Source organism: Homo sapiens, chromosome 8 (genome assembly GCF_000001405.40).
Source record: "Homo sapiens chromosome 8, GRCh38.p14 Primary Assembly".
In the NCBI taxonomy this organism is placed as follows: Eukaryota; Metazoa; Chordata; class Mammalia; order Primates; family Hominidae; genus Homo; species Homo sapiens.
The window spans coordinates 54,661,729-54,674,119 of record NC_000008.11 but is presented as its reverse complement, the minus strand read 5'-3'; the positions used below and the strand labels follow the sequence as shown (position 1 = coordinate 54,674,119).

Sequence of the window (12,391 nt, the reverse complement as noted above, 5' to 3'; positions counted from 1 at the left end):
TGTCATTTTGAAGAAAAATACATCTAGTTAAATTTTAAAGGGTATTTGGAGACAATATTTTGATTTCATATAGTCAATACATAGAGATCCATTTTCTACCAATTTTCCACAGTATTTTCTAGATTTGAACAGAGTTTCATATAAACAGAATGGAATCAGACCTTCATGAACTCTCTGTGGAAGAGTCTTACCTGGGCCAAGTCCATCATGGCCTATCACAATCTTACACAAATCTCCAAGGTGCACAGCCTCCAGGAAAAAGGTGTCAGTCTATAACGAATCAAAAAGTATAATTAGATCTAGACTATAACTCTGATTTATACCAATAGTATAAATTAAGATGCAGTGTTTGTTGTTGTTGTTGTTGTTGTTGTTGTTTTGAGACAGGCTCTCCCTCTGTCACCCAGGCTGGAGTGCAATGACACAATCTTGTCTCACTGCAACCTCTGCCTCCCGGGCTCAAATGATCCTCCTACTTCAGCCTCCTGAGTATCTGGTATTACAGGCATGTGCCACCATGCCAGGATAATTTTTGTGTTTTTTGTAGAGAGGAGGTTTGGCTATGTTGCCCAGGCTGGTCTCAAACTCCTGGGTTCAAGCAATCCGCCCGCCTCAACCTTCCAAAGTGCTGGGATTACAGGCGTGGGCCACGGCACCCAGCCAGTAAAAATTGATTGTAAAAATTAATTTACAATTAAAAGGAGACATAGTTGTGCTCCAATGGTTTATATATTCAGAATACAGACAAAAAGTGAAAATCACAGAATACTTCCGATAAAGTCAAAGATAACGCTATAGGTTTCAATCCAAGAAAAATACATGATGTAGCATATCCATTAAAAAATGGTAAGAAAAAATAACCTTTGTATAGTGTATTATGTTTCAAAATATTTTCATATGCATATTTTATCCTCAAATATCGCTAAGTGAAAAAAAAATCCTTTCTACAGATAAGATAGTTGACGCACAGATCCAGGATTAGAGCTCAGCTCCTCTGACACATAATAAGACTATTTTCTTTTGAATCTCTTTGTCTCTACGTAAGTGCACTGTTAAGAATATAAATAAGGAGAAACAAAACCATTAGCATTCATTAATAAAAAAATACTGTTCATGCCTGGTACAAATTAATGGATAACATTGTTATCCCTTTATCCACCAAACAGAACAGTTAGAAAAGCAGGACTTTCTATGCAATAAAAGATAATTACGAGTTATGATATTTATAATAATCAATATAGAGAACTCTAAGGAAAAGAGAAGAAACGCATAATGAAAATATGCTGACATACTCGTTAAGAACTAGTTGGGTCCTCAAGGAAAGTTGAGATAAATATAATATGATAAAATGTCTATAATTTACTCAGTAAAAGAAAAAGTTAAATATTACATGCATATTAACATTAGAAATAATAAAATAATGTATTTGGCTTCTACATTCAACAATAAAACTGGCTGTATATAATTATCCACATTTAACAATATACATACAGATTTAAACATCGACAAAGAAGGGAGAGATGTCAAGAAGATGGCAGATTAGGAAGCTCCAGGCTCCAATTTACACACGGAGACACTAAGTTAACAATAATGTAAGAACTAGAATACTCTTTTTTTGAAAACTTTAGAAACCACTTAAGAGATGCAGCACCAAGGCCAATGCATAACCAAGAAAGGACTTCATCCAAAAAGGGCAGAAAAGTTCAAGCCATCTTACATGCCCATGCCCTACCCCTACCTGGCATAGTGCAGTGCAACAGGAAGGAAACCACCCACAGTCCAGAACCTCCCTCAGGACAGAAACGAAAGAGTGGACCATACATCCAAAATTCTGTCTTGTCTGAAGGCTACCTGAGAAACTGGTTTTTGTCTCCCCTGACTTGGAGCCATGGCAGAAATGGCAGATAGTTTGGAAGGCTAAAAGACAGAGGCCAGCCCTGCAGCCTGTCTTTTCAACAGAGCTTCTTCAGTACAGCAGAGAGACAAGGCAAGCAGGAGATTGTGGGCTCTGGATAAGAAACAAGGGCAAGCAATTAAGGAAATTAAGATACTTAAAATCAAATATATAAGCCCAGGGAAGACACATTGTCAGAAAAGGTTTGAGAGGTCCCAAACCTCCACCTGGGCTGACCAATGCAAGTTTTCCCCTAGTAAAGCACGTGACTCATAATGACTGTGAGGTATGGTTGTATTTCTAAATGTTCAAATCTTAGTAAAAGATCACAAAGCCTACAAAGAAGAGGAAAACATGGCCCGATCAAAGAAATGAATGGTTCCATGAAATAACCCTAAAGAAATACAAATCTCTAAACTTCCTGATAGAAATTTAAAACAACTATCTTAAAATACTAAATGAGTGAAAAAGAATACAGAGAGACCAACTAAATGAAATCAGTAAATTCAGGCATGAATACAATGAAAAAGATAGAAACTATAAGAAAGAACAAAACAGAAATTCTACAGCTGTTAATATAATTAGTGAATTGAAAAATTCACTAATGGGGTTTAACCTCAGATTTAATAAGGCAGAAGAATCAGCTTTCTTGAAAGCAGTTCACTTGAAATCATCAAGACAGGAGCAACAAAATAAAAGGGTGAAGAAAAGTGAAGAGAGCATAAGAAACTCATGAGACACCATCAAGCAGGCCAACATATGCATTACGGGAATTTAAAAAGGAAAAGAGAGAGACAAAGGGACACAGAGCTTTTCTGAAAAAATAATAGCCAAAAACTTCTAAAATCTGAGGAGTGAAATGCACATGTAAATTCAAGAAGCTCAATGAGCTAAAACTAAAATAAACCAAAAGAAATCCAACGTAGACACATTATAATCAAACTGGTGACTTTAAAAGAGACAATCGTGGAAGCAGCAAGAGAAAGGCAACTCATCATATATGAAGGAGATTCTATAAAATTATGAGTAAATTTGTGTAGAAACCATGCAGGCTAAAGGGCAACAGGATGATACATTCAAAATATTAAAAGAAAAAAACCTCTCAACCAAAAATTCTACATCAGGCAAAACTGTCAAAAGTGGAGAAGAAATTAAGACTTTCCCAGATAAACAAACTGAGTAAGCTCATTACCACTAGACCTACAATACAAGAAATGCTAAGGAAGTCCTTCAAGTTGAAATAAAAGGACACTAGATAGCAACATGAAGTCATATGAAAATATGAAGTTTGAGCCCAGGATCCAGAGGCTTGCGGTAAGCCAAGAACAATACATACATCTCAGTATATACATAGGTTGAAAGTGAAAAGATAGAAATTCTATGTAAATGGGAACCTAAAGAGGGAGACAGTGGCCATATTTATATCAGACAAAATAGAGTTTAATTCCAAAACTGTCACGAGACAAAAAAATGTACTATATAATGATAATATGGTTAATTCACCAGGACTTAATGTTTTATATATATATATATATATATATATATATATATATAAAAACATATATATTATTCATAAATATATGTGCACCTAACATCAGAGTATACATATATACATATACATACATATATATGTATATATATACATATACATACATATATATGTATATATATACATATACATACATATATATGTATATATATACACATACATATATATGTGTATATATATACATACTTACATATGTAAACCTATATATGTAGGTATACGTGTATATGTATGTATCCATATATATACATACATACACATACATATAAAGCAAACATTTACAAAATTGAAGGGAGAAATAGACAGCAACACAATACTAGGAGATTTCAATGCCCCACTTTCAATAATGGATAGAAAAATGAAACAAAAGATCAATAAAGCAAGTGGACATGACCAACACCGTAAACCATTGGTCCTAACAGACATATACAGAACCACCAAAAAACACGGAACATTATCCATGAGAGATCACAAGTTAGTTCACAAACAAGTCTTAACAAATTTAAGAAAATTAAAATAATATAAAGTATCTTTTCCAATCATGGTGGAACAAAACTAGAAAATAATAGTAGGTGACTGAAATATTCACATATATGTGGAAATTTAAAAATTCACTCTTTTTTTCTGTTTTTATTTTGGTTTTTATTTTATTATTATACTTTAAGTTCTAGGGTACATGTGCACAACGTGCCGGTTTGTTACATAGGTATACATGTGCCATGTTGGTTTGCTGCACTCATTAACTCATAATTTACATTAGGTATTTCTCCTAATGCTATCCCTCCCCCTTCCCTCCCACCCCACCACAGGCCCCTGTGTGTGATGTTCCCCACCCTGTGTCCAAGTGTTCTCATTGTTCAGTTCCCACCTATGAGTGAGAACATGCGGTGTTTGGTTTTCTGTCCTTGTGATAGTTTGCTCAGAATGATGGTTTCCAGCTTCATCCATGGCCCTGTAAAGGACATGAACTCATCCTTTTTTATGGCTGCAGAGTATTCCATGGTGTATATGTGCCACATTTTCTTGATCCAGTCTATCACTGATGGACATTTGGGTTGGTTCCAAGTCTTTGCTATTGTGAATAGTGACACAATAAACATACGTGTGCACGTGTCTTTATAGCAGCATGATTTATAATCCTTTGGGTATATACCCAGTAATGGGGTCGCTGGGTCAAGTGGTATTTCTAGTTCTAGATCCTTGAGGAATCGCCACACTGTCTTCCACAATCGTTGAACTAGTTTACACTCCCACCAACATTGTAAAAGTGTTCCTATTTCTCCACATCCTCTCCAGCACCTGTTGTTTCCTAACTTTTTAATGATCGCCATTCTAACTGGTGTGAGATGGTATCTCATTGTGGTTTTAATTTGCATTTCTCTGATGACCAGTGATGATGAGCATTTTTTCATGTGTCTGTTGGCCACATAAATGTCTTCTTTTGATAAGCGTCTGTTCATATCCTTTGCCCACTTTTTGATGGGGTTGTGTTTTTTTTCTTGTAAATTTGTTTAAGTTCTTTGTAGATTCTGGGTATTAGCCTTTTGTCAGATGGGTAGATTGCAAAACTTTTCTCCCATTCTGTAGGTGGCCTGTTCACTCTGATGGTAGTTCCTTCTGCTGTGCAGAAGCTCTTTAGATTAATTACATCCCATTTGTCTATTTTGGCTTTTGTTATCATTGCTTTTCTGTTTATGTCATGAAGTCCTTGCCCATGCCTATGTCCTGAATAGTATTGCCTAGGTTTTCTTCTAGAGTTTTTATGGTTTTAGGTCTAACATTTAAGTCTTTAACCCATCTTGAATTAATTTTTGTATAAGGTGTAAGGAAGGGATCCAGTTTCAGCTTTCTACAGTTTCAGCTAGCCAGTTTTCCCAGCACCATTTATTAAATAGGGAATCCTTTCCCCATTTCTTGTTTTTGTCAGGTTTGTCAAAGATCAGATGGTTGTAGATGTGTGGTGTTATTTCTGAGGCCTCTGCTCTGTTCCATTGGTCTATATCTCTGTTTTGGTACCAGTACCATGCTGTTTTGGTTACTGTAGCCTTGTAGTATAGTTTGAAGTCAGGTAGCATGATGCCTCCAGCTTTGTTCTTTTGGCTTAGGATTGTCTTGGCAATGTGGGCTCTTTTTTGGTTCCACATGAACTTGAAGGTAGTATTTTCCATTTCTGTGAAGAAAGTCATTAGTAGCTTGATGGGGATGGCATTGAATCTATAAATTACCTTGGGCAGTATGGCCATTTTCAGGATATTGATTCTTCCTATCCATAAGCATGGAATGTTCTTCCATTTGTTTGTGTCATCTTTTATTTCATTGAACAGTGGTTTGTAGTTCTTCTTGAAGAGGTCCTTCACATCCCTTGTAAGTTGTATTCCTAGGTGTTTTATTCTCTTTGTAGCAATTGTGAATGGAAGTTCACTCATGATTTGGCTCTCTGTTTGTCTGTTATTGGTGTATAGGAATGCTTGTGATTACGTTTATTGATCTGCATATGTTGAACCAGTCTTGAATCCCAGGAATGAAGCCCACTTGATCGCAATGGATAAGCTTTTTGATGTGCTGCTGGATTCGGTTTGCCAGTATTTTATTGAGGATTTTTGCATTGATGTTCATCAGGGATATTGGTCTAAAATTCTCTTTTTTTGTTGTGTCTCTGCCAGGCTTTGGTATCAGGATGACGCTGGCCTCATAAAATGAGTTAGAGAGGATTACCTCTTTTTCTATTGATTGGAATAGTTTCAGAAGGAATGGTACCAGCTCCTCTTTGTACCTCTGGTAGAATTCGGCTTTGAATCTGTCTTGTCCTGGCCTTTTTTTGTTTGGTAGGCTATTAATTATTGCCCCAATTTCAGAGCCTGTTATTAACAACTCACTCTTTAAACCATCACTGGGTTGGGTGATGTCAGCAATATGGCAGACTGGAGGTTTCTGACTTTCAGTTCTTCCATGGACGTACCAAATAAACAAATACAAATACAACAATTCATTTTGAGAGAAATTCAGACACTTGTTGCAACACACACACACTGGGAAACTGAGAAAATATCCACACCGAAACAGGTAGAAAAAGCTGAGATAAGCTCCTGCCGCAAACCACATCCCAGAAATAGCACTGCACAGTCAGGAGCTTCTCCAGCTTCAAAAAGGAAGTGTTTGTTTTTCATCTGGAGCCCACAATCTCTTTCTTGTCTTATTGTCTCTCTGCTGTACTGAAGAATCTCTGCTGCAAAAAACAGCCTGCAGGGCTGGCCTCTGTTTTTCCAGGCTTCCAAACTATCTGCCTTTTCTGTCATGGCTCCAAGTTAGGGGAGACATAAACCAGTTTCTCAGGCAGCCTTCAAATGAGACAGAATTCTGGACATAGGATCCACTCTTCCATTTCTGTCCTTTAGTTATCCTGTTGTGCTGTGCAATTCTGCAGTCTTCCTATTTGTAAGGAAGACCCCACTGAAGCCCAGCTCTACCAAACAAAAGCACAAGTTCCTCTCCTTCAAAATGATGGCTCCCGTGTGCTCCTCTTCCCAGGCATGGGGATGTACAAAAATAGAAAAATGAAAGTAAAAAAAAAGGTGGCATGTCTGCACCTTCTCTATATGTAAGGAGTTCCCGTTCCTGACTCCTGAACCAGAACTAGAGGGCTTCTACTGAGCCCCCATATCTGAGGTCCAGTGCCTATTTCCAGTGCCATATCTGAGGTCCAGGTGCCTATTCAATGCACCAGGTTTCTGGTGCATTGAATCCAGATTGAGGGATTGTGGAGGAGAAAACCTAACTTTTATGGTTGCTATCCAAGGGATTGGCTCCTACATCAACTGCCTCTGAGAACAGATGGGGCTTGGCATTTGAAAATCCCCTGGGACCACAGAGAACTAGGAGGTCTTTTTAAACAGGCAGCCATACCCCTAGACTTAGTGCAGAGTAAGCAAGGAAAATTATCTAACTTCCAGTTTCTCCCTGGAAGAGGTCTGACTGCACACAATCCCAGCTGCTGTCCCGGGGTCAGGGCTTTAACTAGAGTACATCTGGAAGCCTAGAGGGCAGGAAATTAGTAAAGTTCCCAGAGCCTCAATAGGCATGTGGGTACTTCCCATGTCTTCTCACCCTAGCTAACTCCAGCAATAAAACCAAGTCTCCAGCTTCTCCCTGAAAAGAGTTTCTCCACACACTGAGCATCCCAACTTTCATAGCTCCCACCTAAACAACTGGCTCCTAAATTACCTACCTCTGGAAATGTGGGGGCTCAGCATTTGAGAAGTCCCTGGTACCACAGAGAACAAAGAGGCAATTTTAACTGGGTACAAGAACACTTCCAGCAGCTATCCCACATAAGGCTTAGCACAGAGCAAGCAGGCAAAAATACCCAAATCCCATTTTCTCACTACAAAAGGTTGGACTTGCACTTTCTTAGATGTTGCCCCAGAGTTGAGCTTCTACTTAGCCAGCATCTGGTTGGTGATAAGTCAAGTAATTAGAAGTCCTTTGTGAACCTGAACAGACATGCCTTCTTCCCCAGCTGGCTCCGGCAATAAAGCCAATCTTCATCTTCTCCCTGGAAGGAGTTTGTCCATACATCGAATGTCCCATATTTTACAGCTTCTACCTGAGGGACTGGCCTCTAAACCACCTAGCTGTAGGAGCTGATGGGGATAGGCATTCTCAAGTACCCCAGGGACCACAGAGAATGAAGAGATGCTTTAAACACATAAGGAGCACTTCCAGCAGCTTTCTCCTGGCTTCATGCAGAGAAAGCAGGCAAAAACCCCCAGCACCCAGTTTTTCTTTGAAAGGGGTTTGAGTGTACACCTAATGTCAAGTTTCCCAACGATTTCCATGGGTTACATTTTTAATTATCTTGCATCCAGGCGGTGACAGAACAAGCAATCAGTAGTCTACTGAGTGTCTGCACACTTCATACAGCTCTTTCCTCTGGTTCATTCCAGAGATAGAACAAGTCTCCAGCTGACCCACCTGTCTCTAAGAACTGATGAAACTGGGCATTTGCTAGGCTCTTGGGAGCAACAAACAGCAATGCAACTGTGTGGTCTGAATAGGAGTGCAGGCATTTGCCACAGATCCTCTCCCCAGCTTAATGCAGAGTGAGTGAGAGATAAACTCCAGCTCTGAGTTTCTGCCTGAGGAAAAAACGAACTTGATCACACATCTAGCAACTCATCTTTTCCAGCTGCTTCTCAAGAGACTGACTTCTATCTTACCTATCTCTGGGGCACTGACAGGACTTGGCACACCCTAAACTCCTGGGGGCCACTAAAAACAAAGACAGTAGTTGGGACAAATGCAAAAGTTTGAGAGGCACTTAATCTCTGCCAAGTTGATCAGTGAGGTCTATTTCCTACATGAAGCCAGTCTCACAAGTTTGGGAGAGGTGGCTGTCTTATCTAATGCATAGAAACTAATAGAAAGAGTCAAAGAAAATGAAGAAAAAAGGGGAATATGTCCCAAACAAAAGAACAAGATTAATTTCCAGAAATGGAACTAAGTGATTTACTCAACAGAGAATTCAAAATAACAGTCACAAAGGTACAGACATCAAGACAGTGATGAATGAACCAAGTGAGAATTTCAACAAAGAGGAAATACAAAGGTTTAAGTTCCAGAATAAATAAAGAACTTCTACAATTCAACAACAAAAAAGAAGAAATAACCCAATTTTTTCTTTTTCAACTTTTATTTTAGATTCAGGCAGTACATGTGCAGGTGTGTTAACCGGGTATATTGTGTGATGCTGAGGTTTGGGATATGAATGATCCCATCACCCAGGTACTAAGCATAGTACCCAACAGTTTTTCAATCCTTGCCTCCTTCTCTCACATCCCTCTCCACACCCTAGTGTCTATTGTTGCTCTCATTGTGTCCATGAGTACCCTATAATGAGCTCCACTTATAAGTGAGAACATACAGTATTTGGTTTTCTATTCCTACAAATAACCCAACCCTAAAATGGGCAAAGGACTTGAACAAACATTTCTCCAAAGATTATATACAAGTGGCCAATAAGCATATGAAAGATGTTCAACATCACTAATAAATAAAGAAATGTACATCGAAAGCAATGAGATATCCCTTCATAGCCATTAGGATGGTTACATAAAAAAAAATTAACAAGTCTTGGCAAGGAGATGGCAAAACTGGAACCCTTGTGCACTGCTGGTGGGATTGTAAAATGGTACAACTGCTATGCAAAACAGCACAGTAGTTTCAAAAAATTAAAAACAAACTACCATATGATCCCTCAATCCCACTTCTAAATATGTCTCAAAAACAATTTGAAAAGATGAGCTCAAAGAGATATCTGCACCCCTATGTACACAGTAGCATTATTCACAATAGCCAAGAGGTGGAGGCAACCCAAATGTCCATTAATCAATGAAATCATAAACAAAATGTAGTTTGTTTGTTTACACACAATGGAGTATTATTCAGCCTTAAAAAGAAAGGAAATACTGTCACATGCTATAACATGGATGAATCTTGAGGACATTATGCTAAGTGAAATAAGCCAGTCACAAAAGACAATTACTATATTATTTCCCTTACATGAGGTATCTGAAGTAAATGCACAGAAATAGAAAGTAGAATGGTGGTTACTAGGGACTGAAGGGAAGGAGAAATGGGGAGTTGTTAATTATTAGATTACCTATTTTGGAAGATGAAAAAGTTCTGATGATCTGTTGCACAGAAATGTGAATATACTTAACATTACTAAACTGTGAAATTAAAAACTCTTAGAATAGTTACAACAGTAAATCTTATTTTATGTGTTTTTACCATGATTAATCTTTTTAAAATCAAAGGGCATTTTGCTTACTTGTCCTCTTAAAAAATTGAAGGAGCTCTTCGATCTAAATAGTTGTCTGGATCCTGTATCTCCCTTTTCCCCATGGATAGAAATGTAGACGTTTGCTACTGTTCCAGCATTCCATAGCTCACCCGTTGCCACATTCACTTCATATATTGTCACTGACAACATAAGAAAAAAAACTTTCAGTGCCAAGCAGTACTCATATAACAGAAAATTACATACAGAAATCTCCTCTTATCCATGGTGGAAAAGTTCCAAGATCCCCAGTGGATGCCAGAAACCACAGGCAGTAAAAAATTCTATATATACTATGTTTTTCCCTATTGATACATACCTATAATAAAGTTTAGTTTACGAATTAGGCACCATAAGAGATTAACAATAACAATAAAATTGATTAATTATAACAATATGCTGGTCACAATTTCACAGACAGAAAACTTGTTCTTACCACAAATCTTAGCAAATTTGACATACTTTTTTTTTCTTTCCATATCAATTCAATAACTTTCACCTTTTCACTTAAAGGAAGTACTTTACGGCTTCTCTTTGAAATATCCAAATTGCCAGCATCACTGTTCTTGCACTTTGAGGCCATTATTCAGTAAAATAAGGGTTGCTTGAACACAAGCACTACGATGCTGTGACAGTCGATACAATAAGCATGATGGCTACTAAGTGATGCACAGGCAGAGAGCATACACAGCATGGATTCACTAGAGAAAGGGGTGATTCACATCAGGGCAGGATGGAGCAGGACAGCAGAAGATTTCATTACACTCAGAATGGGACATAACTTAAAATTTATGAATTGTCTGTTTCTGGAATTTTACATTTAATATTTTTGGACAGCAAGTGACTTTGAAGAACTGAGATCAAGGAGAGAAAAACCATGGATAAGCGGGGACTACTGTACAGAAATCCAATCAAGAGTTCTAGTTCCAGGTAATATGGAGTAACCCACACCATCCAGTCTCTCCTACTGAATGCAGCTATAAAACTTTGACAGAATGCATAGAACAGCTATATGAAGATCAAAACATGAACAGCAGCAGGAGGAATGGGGAAGAAGACCAACATTTAAAGTAACACCAAGCATCTGTGAGTTTACCATTTTTCCTCCTCCGCAGTCCCCCAGCCTGGATTCAATGCACCAGAGACCTGGAAATAGGTACTGGGACCTCAGATATGGGGGCTCGGTAGAAGCCCTCTAGTTCTGGTTCAGGAGGCAGGAAAGGGAACTCCTCAAATATAAAGATGAGAAGATGCAGACATGCTACCATTTTTTTACTTGCATTTCTCTATTTTCTTACATCCTTGTGCCTAGGAAGAAGAGCACATTGGAGCCAACATTCTGAAGGAGAGAACTTTCTCTTCTGTTTGGTGGAACTGGGCTTCAGTAGGGTCTTCCTTCCAAACAGGAAGACTGCAGAAGTGCACAGCACAACAGGATAACCAAAGCCTCAGTTTTCTAAGCAAAGGACCAAAAGAAAGATCCAAGAACTGTAGTGGCTTTAAGAACTGAACTGGCATTGGAACCACAGCCCACAGAAGACAGGTTAGGATTTATAACCTGAAATTAACCAGTAGTCAACTATATACTAAAACAAAAATATCAACATTCTCCTTAGGATTTAAATAAGAACTAGTGTCTCATATAATAATATGTAAAATTCCCAGAATATAATAAGAATACTCAGAATATTAAGAACAAGAAAAATATCAGCTCACATGGGAAAAGAGAATGGAGACATCACCATTGAGATGACACGGGTACTGATTATCTGGCAAAGATTTTAAAGCAGTCAGGATACAAATGTTACTACAAACAAGCATGAACACTCTTAAAACCAATGGAGAAATAGAAAATCCTCACAAAGAAATAGAAAATTTAAAGAAGAACTAAATAGAAATTTTAGAACTGAAAAAAAGCATCATAAACAAATTTTAAAACTCACTGAAGAGGCTCAAGAGCAGACTGGAGAGAACAGAGGAAAGCACAAATGAGCTTGAAGACAGATAAATAGAAATCATCCAATCTAACAACACAGAAAAATACTTTTTTAAAAAAAAGAACCTCAGGGACCTGTAGGATAATAATAAAATACCTGATATTCATGGGCGTGAA

The 12,391-nt window shown here is 38.0% G+C and overlaps 1 protein-coding gene across 7 annotated transcripts in view; it reads right to left on the bottom strand.

Annotated features, from left to right (window-relative positions):
- Positions 1-12,391, bottom strand: part of RP1 (RP1 axonemal microtubule associated) — a 312,050-nt gene that overhangs the window by 197,115 nt on the left and 102,544 nt on the right. For all 7 annotated transcript variants that reach the window (XM_047422069.1, XM_047422070.1, XM_047422071.1 and 4 more), the window contains 2 exons: positions 10,270-10,421; positions 192-270 (listed from right to left, as the gene is read on the bottom strand). In XM_047422069.1, coding sequence (XP_047278025.1) covers positions 192-270; positions 10,270-10,421 — 231 coding nt within the window. The remainder of the gene's footprint in view (positions 1-191; positions 271-10,269; positions 10,422-12,391) is intronic.